The sequence below is a fragment of the Homo sapiens genome, chromosome 2 (assembly GCF_000001405.40).
Source record: "Homo sapiens chromosome 2, GRCh38.p14 Primary Assembly".
Lineage (NCBI taxonomy): Eukaryota > Metazoa > Chordata > Mammalia > Primates > Hominidae > Homo > Homo sapiens.
The window spans coordinates 115,805,303-115,819,558 of record NC_000002.12 but is presented as its reverse complement, the minus strand read 5'-3'; the positions used below and the strand labels follow the sequence as shown (position 1 = coordinate 115,819,558).

The window sequence follows — 14,256 nt, the reverse complement described above, 5'->3', positions numbered from 1 at the left end:
CCAGCCAGAAAATACAGTTCACTGAACAAAAAAAAGAGGGATGGAGGAGAGACAAAAAGGGAGAGCAAGAGCAATAAAGGAAGAACATGAGTGCAAATGAGAGCAAGAGAGTGCCCTAGCAAAAGCAAGAAGGCACTAGTAAGTCATAATAGAAATCAAAATGGGATATTACTGCCACAAGTGAAATGATTAAGCATATAATAAGAGGATATTATATATTGCTGTTTGTATATATTCTTGAAAAGTTATATGAAGTGAAAAAATATTCTTTTCAAAGTACTAAAGGTGACCTCAGAAGAAATTAAACAAAATCTTAATAGTCTTCTATTGGTTACATAAATTTAAAAACTAATTAAATGTTTAATCCCACACAGAAAGCAATAGCTCCAAATTTCTTTATAGTCTAGTTCCAATTTTAAACAAATTTTTCCAGGGAATCAGTATAGCAAGAACATTGTTTTCCAACCCGTTTTATGAGGTTAGCATAACCTAATTTGAATCTGAAATCAGTGCATTTCAAGAAAAAAGAATCGCAAGGTCTACGGAATCTTAGGATAAACAGTGTATTTTACATGGTGAGAAAGTCAACTTTTAATTTATAACTCAGTCACAGATATGCATATTTGTTTGACCTGGAATATTTTTTCCATTTAAGATGAAGTCATTCATATTTTTACTTGTTTGTATCCTATGTCACTCTTTTAGTTTTCCAGAGTCATTTGCTCTGAGGCACATCAAGTATACAATGACGATTTGGGGAAAAAGAATTTGAACTTCTAAATGTGAAGCCTAGAGTGTTATTTTTCCATGGTTTATATGCTGAGCTTCTAATTTCTCAGTGGCAATGAAGATCCTCTATCGTCTCGGCCCAGTCTTCCTCTCATTCTTATTGCCTATCATTCTTCTAATAACAGTCAACTACTTCATTTCATGTTCTCCACACATGCTCCCTTCACTGACACTGTGCATTTGCATGAGACTCTTTTCCTTCCCCTCTACCTGCTGATCACCACTCAGCTCATGTTGCCCTTTTCCATGAGGCATTTTACAACCCTTTGAATCTTCTCTAAATTTCCATGAATGTTTGTAAAAGCTTATTTGGTCCTTTATGCTTATTTATGTGTACAGTAAGCAGAGCATTGAAATACATAGGCCCTAAGCCATTTGTAAATTATTACATGTATCAGGACTTTTAAGGAGTAAAATATTCCCTACTGCATGTACTTTTTTGTATGTGGTAAAACATATAAAATTTACTCTATTAACTACTTTTAAACACACAGTTTCGTAGTGTCAGGTATATATTTGTTTCTGTGAAACAGATTTCCAGAACTTTTTCATCTTGCAAATATGAAACTAGACAAAAATTCCAAGAACCCTAATAAGAAACTGATGGGCTCATAAAATGGCTAATCACTAAAGAGCACCTTGCTCTCATTTGCACTCACATTCTTCCTTTACTGCTCTTGCTCTCCCTTTTTGTCACCCCTCCATCCCTCTCTTTTTTTTCAATGAACTGTATTTTCTGGCTTGGTTGTTCTCTATTTATCTTTGTTTTTTACTTTACTAGTTTACATTCTTGCCATTATTATATATCCATTAAAAACCAGCTTCCCTTTTTCCTCTCCCCTCAAATCCTGGCAACAACCATTTCACTCTTTTTTTTCATGAACTCAACCACTCTAGACACCTCATGTAATAAGTAGAATTATACAGTATTTGTCCTTCTGTGACTGGCTATCTTCACCTAGCACAATGTCCCTAAGGCTTAACAGTGCTGCAGTCTGAGACAGGATTTCATTTCACTTTTTAATATATCTAGGGTTTCCATTTCTTTGGGATGATCACTTTCTTAGATGTTTTCCTTTAAAAAAAAAAACAAAAAACTAACCTTTACTACTAGGGATGCACTTTCAGTTATTTACTTCTTTGTGTTATGTTGGAGGAGCAATGCTCACAAAATATTTTTACTTATCTGTTGAATATTGCTGACAACAAGTGTAGAATGCTGCAAAGGCATGATACACTGCAGATGTTTGAAGTGGAGAGAGGATGGTCGTGATTTGCACTGATTTGTATTTTACTCATTTCTTAAGTGGTTTTTTATACACCCACCTGTCAGTATGTACCACTAAAATTTACGCCCCAATTAAACTTACCAGTTATTTTATGTCATGGATCTCTAGGTTACTTATGAATAGTAGAAAATATCATATGTTTAAATCCATGAACACCAAGAATTTGCTTTATTTGTAAACTAAAATAGTTCAAGGTCCCCCTTTTCCTTTCATCTTTTTATTTTATTTTATTTTGAGACGGAGTCTCGCTCTGTCGCCCAGGCTGGAGTGCGGTGGCTCGATCTCGGCTCACTTCAAACTCTGCCTCCCGGGATCAGCCATTCTCCTGCCTCAGCTTCCCGAGTAGCTGGGACTACAGGCGCCCGCCACCACGCCCGGGTAATTTTTAGTAGTTTTAGTAGAGACGGGGTTTCACCGTGTTAGCCAAGATGGCCTCTATCTCCTGACCTCATGATCCTCCCGCCTTGGCCTCCCAAAGTGCTGGGATTACAGGCGTGAGCCACCGCGCCTGGCCTTTTTACCTTTATAATACATTGTCCACTGATGTGTTAAAAACAAGCTCAATAGGCTGGGCACGGTGGCTCACACCTGTAATCCCAGCACTTTGGGAGGCCAAGGCAGGCGGATCACGAGGTCAAGAGATCGAGACCATCTGGCCAACATGGTGAAACCCCGTCTCTACTAAAAATACAAAAATTAGCTGGGCGTGGTGACACGTGCTTGTAGTCCCCAGCTACTCAGGAGGCTGATGCAGGAGAATCGCTTGAACCTGGGAGGTGGAGGTTGCAGTGAGCCCAGATCGCGCCACTGCACTCCAGCCTGGCAACAGAGTGAGACTCCGTCTCAAAAAAAAAAAAAAAACAAAACAAAAAACAAAAATAAAAAACAAACTAATAAATATCTATATGAGGTCTATTTTCCCACTGTCAAAATAATGTTGAACCTGACATAACAGTTACTGCAATAAGTAAATATCGTGCAGAGAGCACAGATGACGTAATTATGCACACTGGTCATTTCCTAGTTTCTAAGCCTGTGTCTGTTTTCCTAAGATTGCGATACTTGCTAGTTTTTTTCTGTGGAGAATATTCTGCTTCAAGAGATTTATTTGACCAGCGTCCATTTGTTATTTAGGTATAGGTTTAAATATAACCTCATCAGAGAGTCCTAAATTGACCACTCAATCTAATGACACTGGCCGCGCTTCTGCAGTTAGCTTTTATGTATCAGTTTTTCTTTGTTTTCTTTATGAGGCTTATTACTATATGAAATTGTGTTTTTCATTTACCTCTTTACTGTTTCCCCTCTCTGGAACACAAGCTTCATGAAAACAAAGCCCCATTTTGTCCTGTTGTTGTTCTACTTCTGACACCAGGTGCCAACTAACTGCCCAATAAATAGTTACTGAATTAATAAATGACTGACTGTATATAATACTAATTATGTTATTTTTTAAAGGATAATACAGAGGAATTATAATATAATGAAGCATGTAATTACATATGTATACATACAAATAATACATATATGTATGTATATATACATATATTATATATATACATTTCAGACTCTGGAATCCACTTCCTCTGCCATCAAATCTTGCTACAGTGAGGTTTTCCATGTTAATAAGTATGGAATCCCAGTCAATATGGAACTTATCTGTAACCAACTGGCCTCCTGTGAATGTGTAATAGGATATTACATAACATAGATACGCATAAAAAGATAGATTCAGCATTTCTACTATTTACCTTTCCAAAAATGCTTAATCTTTTGGAGTCAATGTAAGGCAGTTTCAGCAAAAATCTGCAATGAAAACGAAAAACAATAGTTATATCTTTGTGAGTTAAATGCAAATATAAATATATAGTTGGCATGCATACATACAAAACAATAGCTAATGACTAGAAATGCTTTACTAACTGTAGCTCTGTTCATGTATTAGGGTCATATACTCCAAAATCTTGCTACTCAAAGTGATGGCCTAGTAGTTTGGTATCACCTGAAAGCTTGTTATAAATGCAGAAGCCTGGGCCCCATTCCAGGCCTACTGAATCAACATCTACATTTGAACAATATCATATCTGGTTTCTGTGTGCTATTATAAAGAACCCACTAACTTTCTTAGGTCACACATTCATGCCAGTGTGATAATGGTATCTGTGAAACTTCAAGAATTGTGATTAACTGAGGATACAACAGACATTGTGGATTCCTGTAAACAAATAATATAGTGGTATAATTAAAATGTATCCAACTTCCATAAATCCAAAGTAAATTTTAATTCCAGAGGGGAAATATGAGAATTCTTTTATTATAGCACTAAGGGTGACAGGTACTTCAAAAAAAAAATGAAATAGGCTTTATGATTAACTTACAAAATTGCTCAATCACTAAAATAGAAGCCTTGAGTCAGGGTTAGTAATATTATATGTCATATACCAAGACTCTGTCATTATAGAAAACAGAGAAGAAAAATGTGCATCCACTTACTTCACAGCTGTTATTTGGTCCTTTACTTCTACTGAACCTAATCTTCGATGAATCTCCTGCAAAATTTTCAGACCCTGGAATCCACTTCCTCTGCCATCAAATCTTGCTACAATGACATTATCCATGTCAATGAGTACGGAATCCCAGTCAATATGGAACTTATCTGTAACCAGCTGGCCTCCTGGTTCTTCATCCCTGCAAATACCAACATATTGGACCAAAACAAGAGCAACTGAAAATCTGGTAGAAATTTTACCTTTCATACTCACAAGTTAAGTAATGGGAAAGAACTGTGCTGGCTATTAAAATTTCTGTTAATTCTTGATAATAAACCTGAAGGTAAAATTACAATTTTCCTTCGTAAAATTGTATTTTCCTTTGTAAAACTGTAATTGAAAAGTTCCCTGAATGAAATGAAAGTATGAGTTAACATTGCAGTAGAAATTAGTTTAGCTCATTTCTCAATGGGGAAAAATGAAGAAAATGGATGATACTCTCCCAAAGGCATTTCTAAAGAATGACTGTCAAGTTGGTAGACAAGTCTATCTTTACTGGATTTCTTCCATAGTGTTTTAGAAATGTCTTGCAAATGGCTTCCAAGGGCTGAAGGGCAGAACCAGTTATGAAAAGTTGATAATAATTTAACAGGAAATGTACAACCATACATAATGTTAAACTTAAAAAAAAAACTGCATTAGTATTTCCTGAATTGTTTTGTTTGTTTGTTTCTGTGGTGGAATTCTCACTGAAGAAAATTTAAACAAGCAGTGAGAAAAATTCTTTTTTATCACTAAAGTTGACAGCAGAAAGAAGCATAGATATATATGTTTGAAAAACTTGAAAGCTAGAAGGAAAGAAAGACACATAAATAATAAAGCATGAATGTTCTTTCCACAGGGAAAAGAAGGTACAATTTTAAAATGTCAGCTTAAAATATTTATTAGTTAATTTTCTAGAATACAGAAAAAGTAAAAAATCAGACTCTGAAACAATCACATAGAATATCTAGGTCCATACCTAGATATAGTTCCAATAGGAAGTTGTGCATGTGATAGATTTACAGACCATTTAAACATCCAACCCTGAAAGGATCTCCATTGTTAGTTGGGCAACCTGTGAGAAATTCCCAGCCTACTCACTCTTCAAGGTAAAAACACCAAACTCTCCCGCCTTCCTCTTTATGTGAATGTTTATCTAGAAGCCCCAAATACACAAATCATCTCCAATAACAAGCTTTCAAGTTATCAGATTTCCTACAGCAAATAACCTTTCAGCAACAAATGAAACTGAGCAGATACAGGGGTTGTGTGGAATCCTGTAAGTGACATAAAGAAGTAAGTAGAGAATCAGACAAAACACAGAGCAACTAAAATTTATTAAAAGCTGTTAGGGGCTGAATTATGTTCTCCAAAATTTATATGTTGAATCCCTAACACCCAGTTGCTTAGATTGTGACTATATTTGGAGATAGGTCCTTTAAAAAGGTAACTAAGTTAAAATGAAACCACAAAGGTGGGCCCTAATTCAATCTGACTGGTGCCCATTAAAGAAGAGGAAATTTGCACACACAAAAGACTCTAGAGGTGCACAGTTACAGTGGGACTACCATATGAAGAGGCGCAAAGAGGGCGGTCGTCTGCAACCCAAGGAGAGCCCTCAGAAATAACCAATCCTGCTGGCACATTGATCTTTGACTTCTAGCCTTCAGCGCTGTGAGAAAATTAATTTCCATTGTTTAAGATATCCAGTCAGGCCGAGGCGGGTGGATCATGAGGTCAGGAGATCGAGACCATCCTGGCTAACAAGGTGAAACCCCGTCTCTACTAAAAATACAAAAAATTAGCCGGGCGCGGTGGCGGGCGCCTGTAGTCCCAGCTACTCGGGAGGCTGAGGCAGGAGAATGGCGTGAACCCGGGAAGCGGAGCTTGCAGTGAGCCGAGATTGCGCCACTGCAGTCCGCAGTCCGGCCTGGGCGACAGAGCGAGACTCCGTCTCAAAAAAAAAAAAAAAAAAAAAAAAAAAAAGATATCCAGTCAGAGATATTTAGTTATGGTGGTCCTAGCAAACTAATATAAATGCCTTCTGTGGTCTAAGCACTTAAGATCCATTATGTCATGTACTCCATATTTCCAAAGTTTAGTAAATCTTTTTGGGAGTAAGTTTTCTATTATGTGGATTATGAGATGTATTATAAATAAAGAAACACCGTAAATAAACTGTGCCATAGAAATTAATGAATCACAACTCTCCTCCATTCTTTTCTAAATCACTCATTTAATGTGATTTTCAGTGATTCAAATCAAAATATGCCTTGTCTTTCCACAGTGTTTGCCACCTAGATATTTTCTCTTTTCTTTTATATTTTCTTTTTAAATGTATTTTAATTTATGCAACCTTGGCTCTTGATCAGATCATTTGAAATTTATTACTACCCATATCCCCATGCTGTAACCTAGAAGTCTGATGTCTTCATTCAGAAGTAAGCCTGGAATTGCTGTTTTTTGTTTGTTTGTTTGTTTGTTTGTTTCAGTTGCCCAGTTGATCCTGATACAGCTTGTTTAACATTTGAGAACTAGCACGAATCATGCCTAGCATAATTTCTAGTATGCATAGGACACAGCCAATGCTTGTTGAAGTAGACCTTCTTCAGGGAAAATAGATGAAGTTTAAAATGGAAAGGCCTTAAAAAGACTTGAGTTTACATAAAGATACTGCATTTTGAAGCTTGTGGATTTATTGCAAATATTTTGATTCACAGAGAACAGGTACCAAAGATTAACTTCACCTTTGAATACTAAGCTGAGTAAAAATACCAAGGTTGAATCTCAACTTTACTACCAACATAGGCAAAAATAACTGAAACACTAGGACTCAGTCTGTGTCTATAATGATGGCCAATACTACCATATTTTCCTCAAAGACATTTTGTAAGCATTAATGGCATAAGGCATTTGAAAATACTTTATGAAGTATAATGAACAAAACCATGATTAGATTTATAGGACAATAACAACTGTTTTTTATTCTTTTACTTGAAGAAAATTTTGCTTATGTTGAGCATATTTCTTTGAGTTACACTTAAAAATGGAGAACTATATAAAGAATTTCGGCTAGTTGTACAGTAATTAAATGCACAATATCTATGGATAAAGCATAATTGCTATGTAATATGAGCTCTTATGTCAGAGGTAATCCCATTTTCTAGATGGACCAATGAAATCTAAAGCCTTACAAGGATATAAAAAAAGTGCAATCAACAGACCCTTGGAGTGATCACCAGAGTGTCCTTAACTTTTAAGGCAGGATTGTTCACCTTTATAAACTCTGGCAGCAGTGCTAAGGCAACATAAGATGTTTTGTTTATTTAAAAGATATAACTTTCCAATCTACGTATGACACATTGCCTTGTTCACAGCGATTTCAGAAGTTCCCAGCTAAGATATGTTTAGTTAAAATGTAAATAAGTCAGACATTTTATGGCAGGCAAGTAAATTATTTTAAGATAGAGTTTAAAATAAGGCACAGTTTTCAAACTCACAATTAGTAAATGGCAACAGGTTTTTTAAAACAAATCCTTCAATCCTTTACTCATTATTGCTACACTCATAGAAGAAAACTACAATTTCACTCTTTTGCTCTCTTCTCTTAATTGCCATTTTAAACTTTAACCTAGTCTTTCCAAGGTTTAAATGTTAGATCACGAAGTGGTATCAATTCATTATGAACCAAAGATTTTTGAACCCATTTCTGTGATCTAATTGGGTGTTGTTTCTTTTTCTTTGGTGCACAATATAGGCATATCTATTTCAACATACACTTAAAAGAACATGGATTATGATGCTAATCATTGGCATTATAAGGAACAAATCAGGCATGTGCAGGAAAATGAGGGACATTACTTGTTCACAAAGTGTTGAGCAGAAAATACTAGACTTATAAATAAAGCTAAGCAAAGAGTGCTTATTCAGTAAAATAGGAATAGCAAAACATTTGGTGCTAGGGATAACCACACAGAATGTACTAAAGACAAATCATCTATCTTATAATAAATGGGTACCACGACTCATGTGTGTATTGGCTGTGCAAGATTGCTGAGCTCCAATTGATTTAGTTATTTTTGTTTCTTTCTGAGTGTCTCCCTCATTTGCCTTCTACACAATTTTGCTTTTTTATCTCTGTCTCAGAAATCTTTGGGGATTCACAGTAAGAAGGGTGTTTCAAGGTTGAGAGTGGGGACATACAACTTTGTTGAAAGTTGCGGTGAAAAGAACAATTCCATCTGTTTTAAGCAGTGAAAAGGTCATAGCAATATGACACTTGTCTATTTCCTAACACAAGTAGCAGAATCAAATTAAGACTGCAAACTTTTCTTAGAAGTTAAGGTCTTTGAGGGCAGAATCCTCATCTCTTTCAATACCTTCAACACTGAATGTGTCTGTATGGATGAGTTCACAATATAATAAAATATAGAAAAAATGGAATAAAACAAACAATACTCAATAGATTTTTTAAATGACAGAACAAGTCACCTCTTTATGACATAAAAAACATCATTTATACCAAAACTGGATTAAAGTATAGAGATTTGTTCAAACTACATGTTTGATCGGGTTCACAAAGTGTTTCAATTAAATTCTAAAAAGAGGGTTGAATTTATATACAGAAGACTAAGGTTTTAGTCCTTGATTTCATTACCAATCTGCTGAGGTACCTTGAGGAATTAATTGGTTTTTTTATTTTTATTTATTGTTTTCATTGTTAAGTAATATTTGGTGGTAAATAGTTAAGATCACAAATTATCAGGGCAGTACTTTTTTTTTTTTTTCGAGATGGAGTCTCGCTCTGTCGCCCAGGCTGGAGTGCAGTGGTGCGATCTCGGCTCACTGCCAGATCCGCCTCCCGGGTTCAGCAATTCTCCTGCCTCAGCCTCCCAAGTAGCTGGGACTACAGGCTCCCGCCACCATGCCTGGCTAATTTTTTGTATTTTTAGTAGAGATGAGGTTTCACCATGTTAGCCAGGATGGTCTCGATCTCCTGACCTCGTGATCCGCCTGCCTCGGCCTCCCAAAGTGCTGGGATTACAGGCGTGAGCCACCGCACCCCATTAAAAGTACATTTTTGAAAGCTCTTATCCTTATCAGTAAAGCTTTAGTTATAATAAATGGAAGGAAGAATATTATTCTAACGAGAGGACTTCTGACGACCAGTTGAAAGCATGGCAGAATTTGTCAGCTGCTTACCTGTGTCCACTGGGGCAGTGGAAAGAGGGGACATAGAGAGAACTGCTTTATAGTCATCTCAGTTCATTGCTCTTTCTAGGCCTACAACAGGTTCGCTCAGTTGCACGAGTACCTGTTTGAAAGCTAGAATCCTTGAGAACCAAGGGTTGCAATTTAATTGTAGGTATTATGAATTTAAAAAGAATGTGAAAGGAGGAGTAAAGAACAGAATAAAAATCAAGGTAAGGAAAAGGAAACAATATGCAAAGAACAATATTACCTTATATTCTGAAGCATAATCAACTATCTATGCTTCCATTTTATTCTTCATGACAATTCATTTCAGGTAGAATATGAGATTAACATAGGATAGCAGCTTTAAACAATATTTGCCTTGGTTTAATTAAAAATTTACTTTATAGAGATTTATAATCCATGATGATTTAGTTGCAGCATATGTGTATCTAAAGTATAATGAAGTTTGCCCTCTTTCAAGCAGTATGTACACATAGATCCACATATTGGCTAAGGGCCTCTTGGGCCAATTCCTTCTATTTATCTCTTTATTATTTTTAAATTTCTTCTCATAGATGGATTTTCCTACATGAAGAATGGCTGAATGAATTTTCTCATACACTGTATTTACTTCATCATGTAAGGAATTACATTATTTTTTTCCTACCAGAGAACTGTTTCTTGTCCACATTCCCATCTTCTTCCATTAGGGATATTGTTAAGATAATCTTCAAATTCCTCACCCTAGTTTATTTACAGTGTAGCTTTTGGTTGAATTCCTTTTTTTATAAGTCATAACCAGGAAAGCAGTTGATTCGATCAAGGTTGTTCATGCCGCTACCAAGACCCTATCTCCTAGTTCTAAGATTTTTCTTTCTGGCGGTGATTATGATGAAGGCTACCTGATAATGTATAAAAAATTCTGTTCATAAATTAAATTCTCAAATTGTACTAACCTCCAAATCACTTGTACTCATCTATTTTTATTCTCAGACTTTGTCCATTGTCAAACCTTCAGAAAGGTTGCCTGCATTCATGACCTAGACTTTATAAAGAAGTAAGCATGTCACTGTGAAAAGGTACAGGTGATATGGGGATCAAATCAAACTGAGTTGAGCCCAGGTCCAGTGGCTTTAGACACTTATGCCTACGTTTGCTTTTAATTTGGTATAGAGGGTGATAATAGCATCTACCCAGTAGAGTTATGGCAGGGATTAAATGAGATTCTATATGTAGCTGCGTAAAGTGCCTGGTCCTTGGTATAGGTGTTCAATATTATTAACCTAGTTCTGGACAACACTTTGGGACTTGACCTTACACCTTCCATTCCTCTTGTAGAAGCTGAGCCACCCAAATCTGACTATCTCTATGCAACTCTGCATCAATAATTCCTGCACTCTCATTCAAGAACATCGTTTCTCAGGGAAGGTGGTTTTATGTCATCGAAGTATTCTTGACCTCTAGTCTATTTGCACAAATACACATAATTTAAAAATCTCTTTATTATTCTAGTAGTCTTTATGTCACATAAATAAATCTTCGCTGGCTTGAATTATAGTTACACGGCCATACAAATGGAAAAGAAATATTGTGCCTTTCGCACACGTATATGCTGCTCAGCGTGTATCTCTCGAACACGTGTCTGGCACTTTTGCAATTTTATTATCCATATGTTAAAGGTATCTTACGAGCTTCTTCATAGTTAGATTAGTAGCAGTGATTGCTTTTAAATTGCTAAAATCCAGAGTGCCTCTGAACTCAGTTATAGTTTGATTTTAAAGAAAACATTCTTAAGTCTTTTCACTTATTCATATGTGGGTCTGTTCATTAACATTGTTATCTGTGACTTCAGATAAACCTGAAAAATGCATTTAATGTTTTTCCTCAATCAGAATTTTTCGTGTTTTTAAAGAATTAAAAAAAACCCAAACATATATTTGATGTTTTAATGTTTTTTTTTTTCTTGATCTCCAAGTTTGGGTATTTTGCATTAATAAAATTGAATCTTTTTTTGGATCTCTCCCCTAGCCTTCCTCCTACTTGTCCCTTTTTTCTCTCTTCTATTTTTAATGAAATAGTTTTCCTTATGTCATGATGAACTATTATCGGCCAAAGGCACTCTTCCTTGTCTTGAAGGGAATTTGATACTATTTTGCTCTTTATCTTGAATGAAAGCCAGAGATTGTCTCCTTAGCCTGATGCAAAAACTGCATAATGACCATCATGAGAGTAATGAAGAAAAAACAGAGTCCAGTTGTTTAACTGCAGTTACGCGTACTGTAGTACAAATCCAAAAACTGAAAGCCTTATTGTTACACAAGTTGAAACACTGAACAGCATAGATATTAATGAGCCAGCTCTAAAACTCAGAAATGGACTGTTAGCATTATCCACACAAAATTAACCTCAGGATAAACATCTTGGACAGCACATGAAAATATAAGAATACAACCAATAGAAAAGGACCTCAGGGACATCTCCTAGCCAGAAATTGTTCAATAAAATAGAAGGAATGTACAATCTCCTAATGATATTTGCTGTCAAAGTCTTAGTACATTAATTCTTATCCTTTGGCCAATTTTCATTTGAGATAATTTCTAACAGTGTGAGTGAGTAAGTAGAAAGGTAAGAGGCTTTGATGATCTTTTCTTTCAGTTGCTGGGAATAGCTATATCATCACAGAGCTAGGATAGCATTTGATCTATTCTCTTGCACTTAGAAAGGGTCATACCTAAATTATTCATGGTTAAAAGAAAGCTTAGCACATTTTATAAACACACCAAAGACAGGAGAATTTATCTCAGTTTTCACGTGCACATAACTGCAATGTGACTCTCCTATGCAGCAGGTCCACTTTGGATATGATCATGGAAAATATTCTACATGCTTGCTTCAGGAACTGGGGGTGGGGGGGCAATTTAGATAAAAAATAGAACAAAGTGTGTGTATCTTTAAAAAAGAAGCAGGTGACAATCTCCACAACAAACTTAAATTTCTGTATTTTTTCAAGGAGAGGGCAATTCAGCATGGGAATGTAGTGAGTACGTACTGAGGCTGACAATACATATAGGCTACATATCGAAGGATACATATGTGTGCAATGGGTTGATAATACAGGAATGGATGCTAATTATTACTAACTTTCAACCTGTATTTCATCCTTGGTAGGGCATCATGACACCTTCAGTAATGTATGGTGGTGATACAATACTGGTTTTCTAACTATATAATCCTTTACCTGCATTCTAAAAATCCATTTATCAACTGGAAAGTGTGGTTATATAAACATAGGGAATTTTACACCTTAGCTGAGTTTTTGCATCAGTTAAATAGGAATAATAATGATTATAGTACTAAGTATAAGCAGGCAGTGGCAGAACCATCTTGCAACTTAGTAAACCGACATATAGCGGTAAAGAAATTATAAACCATAGATAGACAAATAACACCAGTTTTTTGAGAGAACACAATTATAAAAGTTGACCTCAACAAAATATTCACTTATACCTTTGGCATATAAGCAATTATATCCTCAAGGCAAAAGGAAATTGGAATTCTTAGCCAGAATAAGATTATAAATTTAAGGTGTTAAAAAATCTCTTTTATTTATTAAGCTCTAATTATGGGTCTTTTTCTGAATTTACACCACGTATTTTAAATTCCTTTATCCCTAGAATTTTTTCTTAGGGAAAAGTAATAAAAGCTTGTATGGCACATTGTTGCTGAGTTTTCACTTCTTAGTAGTTGTCCAACATGAGGCATATTGCTCATCAGTTCTGTCCCTCAAGGGTTCTCACCTGCAAAAACGGGGATTAGAATATCTGCCCTGTTGTAATCATAATGCGGTGAGAGTACAAGTTCTTATGAAAGCACAGGAAGTGCCGGGCGCGGCGGCTCACACCTGTAATCCCAGCACTTTGGGAGGCCAATGCAGGCGGACCACCTGAGGTCAGGAGTTTGAGACCAGTCAGGCCAACGTGGCAAAAGCCCATCTCCACTAAAAGTACAAAAATTAGCCAGGTGTGGTGACGGGCACCTGTAATCCTAGCTACTCGGGAGGCTGAAGCAGGAGAATAGCTTGAACCCAGGAGGCAGAGGTTGCAGTGAGCCAAGATTGCACCACTGCACTCCAGCCTGGGCGACAGGAGTGAGACTGCGTCTCAAAAAAAAAAAAAAAATGGGAGCCAAGATGGCCGAATAGGAACAGCTCCAGTCTACAGCTCCCTGCCTGAGCCACGCAGAAGACGGGTGATTTCTGCATTTCCAGCTGAGGTACTGGGTTCATCTCACTGGGGAGTGCCAGACAGTGGGTGCAGGACAGTGGGTACAGCGCACCCTGTGTGAGCCAAAGCAGGGCGAGGCATCGCCTCACCCGGGAAGCGCAAGGGGTCAGGGAATTCCCTTTCCTAGTCAAAGAAAGGGGTGACAGATGGCACCTGGAAAATCGGGTC

General features: G+C 36.6%; 1 protein-coding gene across 24 annotated transcripts in view; it reads right to left on the bottom strand.

Annotated features, from left to right (window-relative positions):
- The window catches only part of DPP10 (dipeptidyl peptidase like 10), a 1,403,140-nt gene that overhangs the window by 26,222 nt on the left and 1,362,662 nt on the right, over window positions 1-14,256 (bottom strand). For all 24 annotated transcript variants that reach the window (NM_001321910.3, NM_001399849.1, NM_020868.6 and 21 more), the window contains 2 exon segments: window positions 4,572-4,766; window positions 3,830-3,884 (listed from right to left, as the gene is read on the bottom strand). In NM_001321910.3, coding sequence (NP_001308839.2) covers window positions 3,830-3,884; window positions 4,572-4,766 — 250 coding nt within the window.